This window comes from Homo sapiens, chromosome 2, assembly GCF_000001405.40.
Source record: "Homo sapiens chromosome 2, GRCh38.p14 Primary Assembly".
NCBI lineage: Eukaryota > Metazoa > Chordata > Mammalia > Primates > Hominidae > Homo > Homo sapiens.
The window spans coordinates 58,142,878-58,157,040 of NC_000002.12; the positions used below are offsets into that span (position 1 = coordinate 58,142,878).

The 14,163-nt window shown below is 34.3% G+C and overlaps 1 protein-coding gene across 16 annotated transcripts in view; it reads left to right on the forward strand.

Annotated features, from left to right (window-relative positions):
* The window catches only part of VRK2 (VRK serine/threonine kinase 2), a 252,329-nt gene that overhangs the window by 235,286 nt on the left and 2,880 nt on the right, over positions 1–14,163 (forward strand). For 12 of the 16 annotated variants that reach the window (NM_001288837.2, NM_001288836.1, NM_001130480.2 and 9 more), the window contains one exon: positions 3,439–3,597. In NM_001288837.2, coding sequence (NP_001275766.1) covers positions 3,439–3,597 — 159 coding nt within the window. Of the gene's footprint in view, positions 1–3,438; positions 3,598–11,876; positions 11,926–14,163 lie in introns of all 16 variants that reach the window. The other 4 variants (NM_001288838.2, NM_001130483.2, XM_006712091.5 and 1 more) reach the window with 2 other exon arrangements.

Sequence of the window (14,163 nt, forward strand, 5' to 3'; positions counted from 1 at the left end):
ACTATAATATGTTAGTATATTGTAATAGTGTAGACACTTGGGCATAATGAGCCCTCCCATCCTTCCTAAATGCTTTAGCTAGGCAGAGAAGTAGCTGCAGGTCAGAGCTAAAAGGTTGTCCCTTCATTCACCTTAAATCTGAGGCTCCCATAGCATATCCAGAGTTGAATATATTATTATTGGTAGTAGTAGTATTTGTATAGAATTTAACGGTTTACAAAATTTTTTCCTAAGCTTTAAGTCTCAAAATAATTCTATGAACTTCTCTTTATTTTCTGTATATGAGGATAGTGAAATACAGATTCTTAATTAGAAGCACATTTTTGGTTTATTAATTTTTAGGAGTCCAAAGGTATTCTTGATTTTATAGAACAGTGTGAAGTTCCAATGGAAAATTAAATAAAAACTACCTCATTTTCATACCTACTTTCTTGAAAATATCACACATTTGTGTAGTATCCTTCTATTATAAGGGATGCCCAGGGTGTTTTCTGTATTTTTCTATCTTTGAGAAAAAGTTTCACTGTGTTCACTATCATCTACTTCACTCTTACAATAAAAGTTTCCTTAGAAATAAGATTTTCCATTAATTGGCTATCATTTTGTTTAGTAGCTAGAAGTGCCCACGGCAGTGCAGCCTAACCATTCAGCCAACTAAAAGCAAATCCAGGAGGCATCATCTCTTCCAGGAACTTTCACAGAGGAGTGAATATATTATACTGAATTTTGCTTATACGTCAGAGGCTCCCAGGGCAAAAACTCTTAAACCTAAAATGCCTAGCATATAGGAAGCACTAAAAACTTCAATATCTTAGCTAAAAATAAAACTGCCAGCAACCTTGCTTCTGGGTATGTATCCAAGGGAAATAAAACCAGATGTCAAAGAGGTATCTGCACTCCCATGTTCATTGCAACACTATTCACAATAATCAAGATACAGCACAACCTAAGTGTGTGTCAATGGGTGAATGGATAAAGTGTGGTCCGTAACCACAATATTATTTGTGGTTATAGAACACATTTTCTTTATCCACAAAGTGTATTTTATTCATATATATTGTGTCTGTTTGTGTATATATGTATATACATATATATGTATATATGCACACATATATACACATACATATATACATATACACATATATATATACATATATACACACACACACACAATGGAATATTATTCAGCCATAAAAAGGAAATCCTGACATTTGCAACATCATGGATGAATCTGGAGGACATTATGCTAAGTGAAATAAGCCAGACACGGGACAAATACTGTATGATCTCATTTATAGGTGGAATCTAAAAAAAATAATAAACTTATGAAAGCAGAGCATAGAACAGTATTTGTCGGGATGAGACCTGGGGAAAATGGGGAGATGCTAGTCAAAAGGTACAAACTTTCAGTTATAAGATGAATGAGTTCTGGGGATCTGATGTACAGCATGGTGACTGTAGTTAGTAATACTGTGTTGTATTCTTGAAATCTGCTAAGAGAGTAGATCTTAAGTATTCTCACACAAAGAAATGGTGACTAACGTGAGGTGATGTGTTAATAACTTGATTGTTGTATTCATTTTGCAATGTATACATGTATCAAAACATCACATTGTATACCTTATATATTTTTATTGTCAAACATATCTCAATAAAGCTGGGAGGGCAAATCTCACCCTTTATAACATGGAACACATTTTCACAAGAATTGGTAAGCCAATGTTTTAATAGGATAAAACAGTACGCAAGAACCATGGGAGACCCTTTGTTTCACACTAATGGTATCAGGTACATTTATTACCAAGATGACTTCAGCAGAAAGTGGCTCAGAAGATGGTGACATAAATTTTCCCAGTAGTTTGGGAAGGTTGAGTGGTGAAAATAAAGAATTCCTGCATGATTAAGAAACATTTCCAACTTTCAGGTTACTGAAAGGCAGTGGTTTTGAGCTGGGATCCTGGAGGAGGGTAGAATAGAGTGGTGTTGTGACAATTTAGGCTTAGCCACAAAACACCAGCATATTTTAAAGGGAAGGAGTGAACACACTTGGCGATAAAAGCTAAAAATTGAGAGACTACAAATTAAGGCTCTGCTTGCCCAGCCAATGTAATTCATTCTCTATTTTGGCACTGGCTACTTCACTATTTCCCCTTTGTGCTGTTCCTATCTTCTGCCCCCTGTTTAACTCATGAAAAAAAGGTGATGGCACTTTCAGCTGCTATAAACATGAAGCTGCTGAACAAATACTTCATATAAGGACCTTCGCTGTAGCTTTCAATCTTCCAACAGTGTTGTGGGTTCTGCCCTTCTGTTTCTGAGTCTACTTCAAGGTTATTGACAGTCAGGCATCCCCCAGATATCATCATGGTGTGAAAAAGAAACCTTAGAGACAGCAAGCTTGTTGTAGAAGAACTTAACCTCTGATACTGGTACACAGTATTCGATGACATGAACTGTTATTCATCTTGCTCAAAGGTTAAACTACCTGCACAAAAATGTAAGCAACATCACAAGCTCCTTTTATATATTCACATTAATTAGGCTCACTTCAATGATAGAAAACTAAGATTTTAATTAATAAGAATTTAAACTACAAAGATATACTGGATACACTCCCAGCAAAGGTTAATAATGAATTCATGTGCAGCTTTAAAATGTGACAATTTTCTCTAAAAATGCTGTTTTCAGTAAGCAAGTTATCTGTAGAGATAATTTCTAAGGAGTACAGTGACACTAATTTTATTTTTTATTTTATTTTTTATTATACTTTAAGTTCTAGGGTACATGTGCACAACCTGCAGGTTTATTACATATGTATATATGTGCCATGTTGGTGTGCTGCACCCGTTAACTCATCATTTACATTAGGTATTTCTCCTAATGCTATCCCTCCTCCCTTCCCCCACCCCATGACAGGCCCCAGTGTGTGATGTTCCCTACCCTGTGTCCAAGTGTTCTCTGTTCAATTCCCACGTATGAGTGAGAACATGCGGTGTTTGGTTTTCTGTCCTTGCGATAGTTTGCTCAGAATGATGGTTTCCAGCTTCATCCATGTCCCTACAAAGGACATGAACTCATCCTTTTTAATGGCTGCATAGTATTCCATGGTGTATATGTGCCACATTTTCTTAATCCAGTCTATCATTGATGCACATTTGGGTTGGTTCCAAGTCTTTGCTATTGTGAATAGTGCCGTAAGAAACATACGTGTGCATGCAGTGACACTAATTTTAATTGGTTTTGTCCCATTGATGAGAAAGGGTCTGGATCTTGCCAACGACTATAGTTTTTCTGTAATGTCCACTTGCTGCTTTCCTCTTTATTTCCTTTTTTAAAGCTTGGCAAGTTTAGAGCTTTTAAGAATCTGGACATATATGCATTTTTTAGAGAAATACCAAAAGTTTTCATTATATATTATTACTTACTCTATACCAACAGGTTGATTCACAAAAGGCTGCAACAAAGCAAGTCAACAAGGCACACAATAGGTTAATCGAAAAAAAAGTCCACAGTGAGAGAAGCGCTGAGTCCTGTGCAACATGGAAAGTGCAGAAAGAGGAGAAACTGATTGGATTGATGAACAATGAAGCAGCTCAGGTGAGAGGGTTGTTTGTGTGTGTTTTTTCTAACTTAATGTTACATTAGAATATGCCCTTTGGGAATAAAAACATCTTATTTTCTCCTGAGGGCCAAGGTTGTATGGTTTTGTTAAATGAGAAGGGACAGAAAATATCCTAGCCAGCTGATAAAATTAAAGCGGCCAGCACCAGTTATCATAGAAACAGAATAGCAGTAAGCACATTTGCGTACAGATCTGATTTCTTTATTCTAAGAATGTAATGAAGTGCACTTAAATTTCTTTTGCCATCTATGATCCATTAGGGACTCAATGTATTCTATACTTTTACATTGGTTCCTCAAGTCTCACCCTTATAATCAAATATAAGTGAAGTGTTTCCCTGTCAATGTGGTTGTATTTTAAAATGATGTATTTTTTACATCACTCAGTCATTTGGGCGGAGAGTGACTCACCTTTAGCAGATGACTCATTCAAGTAACAGCAAAAATCCTCCCTAATCTAACCTTTTTTGACAACAAGGAGAAGCATACAATGCATTTATTATCTGCAGTGAAAAAATATTTAATTTTGTCAAAATGACCAACATTTTATATGATTTATACACCATCATTTCCCCCAAATGATTTGAGGTAGTTTACAGTATGAAACAGGATAATTTAATACCCCACCTTGTATACCCTACCTAATCAAGAAAAATTGATATATCAGGCAGCTGGGATATTAATCACTAAACTGAGCACTGAATTTGGCTCTGAACTTCTTGACAGCCGAGGCAAAAATTAGAAGCATAGTACTTATGCATTCTTCAGCCAGCCAACAAGCCTGCAAGTTTATCCAGAGACAGAAATGCTTTTTTTAGTACTAATAGCAATCTTTTACATTCTTTCGAGTATAAAATAGTGGCATTATTTGTTGTTTCATTTTAAATTTATGTAAGGAACTACTTCACTTAGGCATATTTTAGTTCCTATTGGTAAAATTAAAGACAAATCGTGCTTGGTGACAAAACTTAGAGATTCTAAAAATCTCTAGTTGAGAGATTCTTTTTCAACCCTTACTTAAGTCCACCAAAATCACCTGGTGTACAGGGATAGGGAAGCACTGCGAAAATACTGATGCAAAGAAATTGATTCCTTTTTGGCTGTGGTGGCAATGAGATACGTATATATAGATTTTATCACTTTGGAAAGTCTTGGTTCTTTTCCCTAGTCAGTCCTCTTCCCCCAGGGAATGTTCTGCCATTTTGATTCTCATCACTAGATTAGATTTGCCTCTTCTAGAATTTCATAAACATGCAGTCATATAGTATGCATTCATTTGGGCCTGGCTTCTTTCACTCAGTGTTTTTTTTTTTTTTTTGAGATTTATCCATGTTCATGCATGTATTAGTAATTTGTTTTTTCCATTGCTGAACAGCACTCCATTGTATAACTATATCATAGTTCACATGTCCATTGTGTAACTACATCATAATTCACAAGGCCATTCTCCTATTAATGGACATTTGGGCTACTACTCATTTCTGGCCACCATGAATATAGTTGCTACAAACATTCTGGCACAAATCCTTCAATGGACATGTTTCATTTCTCCTGAGATGTAGAATTGCTGGGTCGTAGGGCAGGTGTATGTTCAATTTTATAAAGAGCTGACAAATAGTTCTTGAAAGTACCATTCTGTACTCCCACCAGTAATGTACAAGAGTTCTGGCCATTCCATGTCCTCCCCAATATTTGGTATTGTCACTCTTTTTAATTTTAGCCTTTCTAACATGTGTATTAGTGTATTATTGCGTTTCCAATTATTCACCTGATGTCTAATTAAGTTTGAGCACTTTCACGTTTTTACTGACCTTTCATATATCTGTTCTTACAAAGTTTCTTTGTCGAGTGTTCTAATTTTTATTTGGATATTTGTCTTTTTATTGTTAAGCCACAGGAGTCCTTATCAGATATCTGTATTATGGATATCCTCTCCTAGCATGCGGCCTGCCTAATCATTTAATTCATAGTATCTTAGGATGTGCAGAAGCTTTTTATATTATTTGTTTTTTTATTTGAAGTTCAATTTATCAATATTTTAATAGTTTTTTTGTCGTTTGTTTGTTTTTCTGTAAAGATACCTAAGAAACCTTTGCCTACCTCAAGGTCACAAAGTTATTTTGCTATATATTTCTATACAAGGCTCATGGTTTTAGCTTTCATTGTTGGTTCTATGAGCCATCTCAAATCAATTCATGTGTATTGTGTGAGGTGGAGGTTGAGGTTCTCTTTTTCATATAGTTTGCACCATCATTTATTGAAAAGATGTTCCTAATGAATTTCTTTGGAGCCCTTTTCAAAAGTCAGCTAACTGTGTGTGTGAGCCTATTTCTGGGCTCTATTTTCTTCTATTCTACTTGTCTCTCCTTACACCAACACCACACTGCATCAATTACTGTCGCTTTACAGCAAGTTCTGAAATTAGAATAGTTCTTTAATCCTTTTATTTTCTTTCAAAAATGTATTGGCCATTTTAGGTCCTAGTCTCCTCCATAAAATTTAAGAAGCAGCTTGTTAGTTTCCACCAAAAAATGCACAATGGGATATTGACTGGGAGTACATTAAGTGTAAAGATGAGTTTATGGAGAACTGGCATCCCAACAATGTCGACTCCTCCAGTGCATAAACCTGGTACTTCTCTGCATTTATGTGGAACTTCTCTGCATTTATGTGCATTTTCTTTAACTTCTCTCAACAGTGTTTTGTAGTTTTTAGTGTAGATGTCTATACATCTTCCATTAAAATTATCTCTAAATATTTTTGATCCCATTTTAAGTAGTAATTTTCAAAATTTCATATTCCAGTTATTTGTTGCTGGTATATAGAAATAGAATTTATTTTCTATTTCTATATCAGTTATATTTGATATACAATATAATCATGTGTCTTGGGATCTTTCTAAATGTACTTATTAGTTCCAATAGGTTTTATTATTTTTTAAATAGATTCTTAGGACTTTCTACATAGTTAATGATGTCTGTGAATAGAGACAGTTTTACCTCTTCCTTTCCAATATATGCCCTTTATTTATTTTTTATCGTTGTCTTATTACATCTGCTAGCAGCTCTAGTATTACGTTGAATAGAAGTTGTGACAGTGGCCATCCTTGCTTGGTTCCTGATCTTAGGGGGAATGCATTCATTCTTTCACCATTAAGTTAGCTGTTGATTTTTTCTAAATGCCCTTTATCAGGCTGAGGAAATTTCACCATATTTGTTGAAAAATAAATGTAAATAATGAATATTAAATACTGTTTTGAGATCTTTTGAGATGATCACATGATTTTTTCCCTTTACTAGTACGATGAATTACACTGATTTTTAAATGTTAAATCAACCTTTTATTTCTGGGATAAACCTCCAGTTAGGCATGATGTGTTTTCCTGCTGAATTCTGTTTGCTGAATTCCAACTCAATTCCTGCTGAATTTCAGTTCCATGGAAGGTTTTTATACCTAGACTGATGAGGGATACTGGTCTGTAATTTTCTTTTTCTTTTCTTTTTTTTTTTTTTTTTTGCAAAGTGAAAGCAAGTTTATTAAGAAAGTAAAGGAATAAAAGGATGGCTACTTCACAGAGCAGCTGTAATTTTCTTTTGTCGTAATATCCTTGTATGGTTTTGTTTTCAGGGTCATTATGAATTATACCAGTTGGAAGTGTTGCACTCTGTTTTCAGAAAATGTTTTTGTAAGATTTGCCTTTCTTAAATGTTGGATAGAATTGAGCAAGAAAACCATCGGGGCTGATAATTTGTTGTAGGAAATTTTTTAACTGCACATTTACTTTCTATAATATATAGAGTGATCATTAGATTTTTTTTCTTGGGTCAGTTTTATATTTGTATTTTTCAAAGAATTTGTCCATCTCATCTAAGTTTTCAAATTTATCAGCACTAAGTTAGGATATTCTTTATTTTCCCTTTATCATCACCAATATCTATATTGATGTCCCTCTTTCAGTTCTGATAATGGTAACTTTTGGTTTCTTTCTTTTTTTAGTAGTCTAGCTAAGGGCTTATCATTTTCATTGATCTTCTCAAAGACCAGCTTTGGTTTTTTTTTTTTAGTTTTTTTTTTTTTTCAAAGACCAACCTTTGGTTTTGTTGATTTTTTTAAAAAAACCTACCATTGATATGTTTTCTGTTTCACTAATTCTTTATCATTTGCTTGATTCTACTTATTTTGCATTTAATTTATTCTTTCAAGCTTCATAAGGTGAAAGTTTAAATCACTAATTTTTTCCTTCATTTTTTTTCTAACGTATATAGTTAAACCTATAAATATGTAAGCTGTGCTTTGGCTGTCTATTTCACAAATTTTGATGTGTTGTGTTTTCATTATTAATCAGTTCAATGTATTTTCTAATGTCCCTTGATTTATTTGACCCATGGATTATTTATTAGTATGTTATTTAATTCCTAAGTATTTTTAAGGTTTACTGGGTATCTTTTTTGTTATTGATTTCTAATTTAATTTTGCTGTCATCAGAACACATCCTGTATTATTGCAATCTTTTAAAATTCACTGAAACTTATTTTGTCACCAAGGAAAAGGCCTAGTTTAGTGAATGTTCCTTGTATACTTATGAAGTTTGGGGTTGTTTAATAGTGTTCAAATCTTATATATTCACTGTTTTATTTTGTCCTCGTTTTATCATTTAATGACAAAGGAATGTTACAATCACCAACTGTAATTGTGAATTTATCCATTTGTCTCTTCTATACATTTTTGCTTCTATACATTTTTGCTTCATAGATTTTGATGCTGTTATTAGGTATATGCAGATAGTAGTTATATGTTCTTGGTTAACTGTCCTGTTCATCATTCTGAAATATCTTTCTTTATATCTATTAAATACTCTATCTTGAGTTCTACTTCATCTGACTTTTAACAATTCCAGCCTTCCTATGATTAACATTTATACATTGTATCCATTTCCATCCTTTGTTTAATCCACTTGTGTCTTTTTATCTGTGGCTTTTGTAACTAGCATATAGTTGAGCCTCGCTATTTTATAAAATCTGGCAAACACTATCTTTTATTTGCTCCATATCTATTTCATGTAACTATATTTGCTCCATTTCCATTTGAGGTAACTATTGATATAGCTGGGTTTAATCTACCATTATGCAGTTTGCTTTCTTTTTGCCCCATTTGTTCTTTGTCCCTTTTTACCTCCCTCTTGCTTTATTTTGGACTGATTGAGAATTTTTTTTTAACTATGCTTCTATGCTTGTTTTTTTTTTTTTTTTTTTTTTTTTTTTTTTTTTTTGGTGGTCACTCTAGAGCAAGGGGTCAGTCAGCTCCATAGCCTATGGGCCAAATTCAGCCAACCACCTATTTTTGTAAATAGTTTTATTGGAACATAGCCATACTCATTCACTTACATATTGTATTTGATTGCTTTTGTTCCATAGTGGCAGAGCTAACTGCAACAGAGACTGTATGGTCAAAAAAGCCTAAAATATTTACTCTCAGGCATTTTACAAAACAAGTTTGCAAATCCCTGCTCAGCACAATCCTGCCTAACAGAAATATAATGCAAGCCACATATGCAATTTAAAAAATTCTACTAACCACATTTCAAAAAGTAAAAAGAAACAGGTAGAATCTATTTTAATAACGTCCTCTGATTAAACCAGTATCCACAATGGTATAATCAGAATAATATTACTGAGATACTTACATCTTTTTCTAAAGTCTTCAAAATTTGGTGTCTATTTTATAGTAACAGCACATCTCAATTATAACTAGCCATATTTCAAGTGGTCAAGTCATATTAGACAGCGTGGCTCTAGAAATTACCATGTGCACATTTAACTGATCATATTACATTCTATCTTGACTTAATGTGTAAGAACCTTAAAAATATATACTTCCCTTTATCCCTCATCCTTTGTGCTATTGTTGTTATACGTTTTGCTTTTACATGTGTAATATATTTCAGAATGCATTGGTATTGTTGCTTTAAGGAGCCATTTTTCATTTTAAAAAAATTAAGAAAGGAAAAGGAAAAAAAGTCTTAACATATCCCAGTATTTACAGTTACTGAAATTCTTTATTCCTTCAATAGATCTTAGTTTGGTATAATTTCTCTTCAGCCTGAACAAATTCCTTTAACATTTATCATAGTATATATTTCCTGGAATCTAATTCTGTCACCTCTTGTCTGTCTGAAAATATTTGTATTTCACCTGCATTTTTTTTTGTAGTGGTGGATTTATATTTTATTTCTGCATTTTTTTAACAGTTTATTTTGAAGTAACTGTAGACTCCGAAATTGCAAAAATACATACAGCCTCCCTATACCCTTACCTACCCTTTCACCCAACTCCTGCAAATGAAAACATTTTACATAACCATAATATAATTTTACAAAGCAGGAAATTGACATTCATATACTACCATAAAATACAGACCTTATTAGGATATCACCAATTTTGACATGTACTCGTGCATGTCTGTGTTCCTTAGATATTTTATAACATGTATGGAGTAACCACCACAATTATCCTGCAGACCTGTTCCATGACCACGTAGGAATTGCTCATGCTATAGTGACACTCTCTTCCCAATCCTAATCCTCAGAAAGCAGTGGGTTTATTCTGCATCACTGTAATTTTATCATTTTGAGTGTATCATATAAATCAAATCTTATGATATGTAACTTGTTGAGAATGGCTTTGTTTCATTCGTCATCATGCCCTTGAGATCGATCCAAGTTTTGTGTACATGAGCAGTTCATTCCTTTTTATTGCTCAGTAGTAATCTGAAGTATGGATATACCATTGAAGAACATTTGGTTTCTTTCCAGTTTTTGTCCATTCACTATTCAGTAGGTTAGCTGTAGACATTTTTATAGATGTTCTGTATAAAGTTGAGGAAGCTCCCCTCCATTTCTAATGTACTAAGAGTTTTCATCATGAATAGGTGCTGAATATTGTCAAATGCTTTTTCTGTATCAATTAATATGATCATGTGATTTTTCTTCTTTAGACTGTTACCATAGTGGATGACACTGGTTTGTGGTTGAATATTAAATTAGTCTTCCATTCCTTGAATCAACCCCACTTCGTCATTTTATATTATTCTTTTTATATGTTGCTGGATTTAATTTGCTAGTATTTTAATGAGGAGTTTTACATCTGTGCTCATGAGAGCTGATGTCTGTTGTTATCTTTTTATTCTACTGTTTTTGTTGGTTTTGGTATCAGGGTAATGGTGACCTTATGAGTTGAGAAGCCTTCCTCCTCTTCTTAATTTCTGGAAGAAAATGTATAGAATTGATCCTGTTTCTTTTTCACGTTTTGCAGAATTCTCTAGTGAAACCATCTGGGTCTGGAGATTCCTTTTTAGCTATGAATTCAATTTCTTTAGTAAGACTATTCAGATATTTATTTCAAGAGTAGGCAAACTTTTCTGTAAAGAGCCAGATGGTAAAAAATTTAGGTTTTGCAGGTCATATGGACTCTTGTCACAACTATTTATCTCTTGCATTTTTATTATTTCATCTTGAGTTAGTTTTGGTAATTTGTGATTTTTCCAGGAATTGGTCCATTTCATCTGAGCTATCAAATTTTTGTTGGTATAATTATTCATACTATTCCTTTATTCAAATCCCTTAAATGCCTGTGGGGTCTGTAGTGATATTTGTTTCTTCCCAGATACTGGTAGTTTGTGTTTTCTTTCCCTGTTAGTCTTGCTAGTTTGTCATTCTTATTGGTCATGTCTCAGAACCAGCTTTTGATTGATCATTCTGTATTTTTTAATTGCCAATGTTATTGATTTCTGCTCTAATTTCTATCTTTCTGCTTGCTTTGGATTTCTTTTTTTTTTAATTCTTTTTTTGACAAATATAATTGTATATATCATATCTATGGGGTACAATGTGATGCTTTGATATATGTCTACATTGTGGGATGTTTAACTCACACTAATTAACAAATCCATCATGTCACATACTTGTCATTTCTTTTTATAATTTCTTGGGGTGCAAACAGATTATTAAATTGGGACTTTTTGTCTTTTCTAGTACAAATATTTAGTATTATAAATTTCCCTTCTAGCATGACATTAGCTATGTCCCATGTTTTGATATGTTGTATTTTTATTTCCATTCGGTTCAATGTATTTTTTAATTTTCCTGGGGTCTCTTTGACCCATTTAAAGGGGTCTTTAAATTTTAAAGCATTTGGAGATTTTCCTATTATTTCTTTCCTTCATCTTGATCTTGGTGTATTTTCTTCCCTTTTTTCCAGTTTAGGTAGAAGCTTAGGCTATTGATTTGAACCCACTATTTTTTCTAATGTAAGTATTCCATGCTATAAGTGTCCTGCTAAACCCTGTTTGTACTGCATCCTGTAAATATTTATACATTTCAATTTTGTTCACTTCAAAATATATTTCCCCTTGAGACTTTTAATACCTTATTTAGAAATGTGTTAATTCCCAAGTATCTGAAGATTTTTTTTTCAGTTATTGATTTCTAGTTTAATTATATTATGGTCTAACAATATAAATTTGTTAGGGTTTGTTTTATGGATAGGATATGACGGTCTGCCTGGTTGAATGTTCCAGTTGCAGTTGAAAAGAACATGTATTTTCCTGTTTGGGGGTGAAGTAGTCTATAAATATCAGCTAGATCCCATTATCTTGTGATGTTACTGATTTATTTTATATTCCTGCTGATTTTCACTCTAGTAGTTATATCAATTACTGAGAACAGAGCTTTCTAGTTAGGGAGATGTGCGATGCCAACTCTTTGCTGTTTAATGCACAGCAGGCACGGTCAAAAGGGCAAGTGCCTCTCCAGTTTCTGAGGCCAGAGTGGAGGGTTGCTGTTGCTCTGATGTTTGCTCAGTGCAAGGTGGAGAAGGTTGGTAGCTCTCTACTACGGTCTCTACAGTGTCTGGTGGGGAGGAAGACAGGTACCACATCTGCTTGTGTTAGTGCAGGGAGGAACAGGCTATATGGCTCTGCCTTACAGTTTTGGTAGTCTCCTGGTGGGAAGGAAGGGGGACCACCTCAGTAGTACAGGCTGGGAAAGGTTGTCAGAGCTCTATCTCACAATTTCCCTAACACCCAGTGGGATAGGGTATCACCTTGTTAGTGTGAGGACGGTCAACAGGGCTCTACCTGTCTCCACAGTGCTTGATGGGGGAAGGGTAGGTGTGCTCCCTGGTTAGTGTAGGGTGATGATACTCAACAGGACTGTACCCTCCCTCTTCACCCCACCCTTGCCACCTCCCCACCGCCCCCACCATCCCCCCCACCCCGCCGCCCCGTTTCCACAGCACCTGGAGAGAAGTAAGGTACAGCTTCTTTCATGGTGTTCACCTAGGGTTCAGCAGGTATAAAAAGATTCTGTCCTGTAGACCTGTCCTCCCCCAGGGCTATTGGTTACATAGAGCATGTTTTTCATGTTTGTTTTTTTTTTTTTCCAGTCTGTGCATATTGCTGTTTCCAGAACGCAGGCTCTTTTATGGCCCAGGCTGGGGTAATAGGAGGTACTAAAGTACATGGCGGGTGGAGACTCAAGGGAGGGTCATTTTTAGAATTTTCAGTGTTTTGATAGGTGCTTTTTGTCCACTCTTTAATTACCAGAATAAGGTGGGATGCTTACTCTTTCTTGTCTATAACTGGATGCCCCTCACTTTGATTTTGAAAGCTTCATTGAATATGGAATCTATTCTTTCAGAACTTTAAAAAGGATGTTTCCATCTTCATAGGTCTGTTTTTTTTTCTGCTAAGAAGTTAGCAGTTATTCTTATTGGCCCATTTATAATGTATTTCTTTCTGTGGCTTTCAAGATTTGCTTGTTATTTTTGGTTTTGTAAGGATGGCTGTCTTTTGTTTATTGTGCTTTGGGTTCGTAGAGCTGCTTTTATCTGTGGGTTGATATTTGTCTTCAAATTGGAAAGGTTTTGTATGATTTCATCAATTTGTTTCATGCCTTAATCTCTCTTATTTCTCTGAGTTCCAAATACATGCATGTTAGAATACTTTACCTTTTTCATAGGCAGCTAAATAACTATTTTTTTAAATCAGTCTTTTATGTTGCTGTACCTCAGGTTGGGTGGTGGTGTTTTTTTTGTTTTGTTTTGTTTTGTTTTGTTTTGTTTTTGCCTGACCTCTAGTTGATTGTCAAATCAGCTGTTAAACCTAGCCAATGAATTTTTCATGTTATACCCTGTATTTTTCAGTTCCACAAGTATATTTCTTTGTATGTTGAGATTCCACCTCCCCCATATCTGTTCATTAATTATGTTCAACTTTAATTCCTTGAACATATTTATGTAGATGTTTTATAGTCCTTGTTTGATAATTGTACCATCTGGATCAGCCCTGAATCTCTGTTAATTTTTTCTCCTGGTTATGGGTCACATTTCCTGCATCTCATTTGTAGTAGTTTTATTGTATACTGAACATTGTGGATGCTGTGGTCTTTAGACTCCAGATTTTATTGCATTCCTTTAAAGAGTTTTGAGGTTAGTTCTGGCAGACAGTTAACTTACTGGTGACTAAACCTGATCATTTTATAAGTTC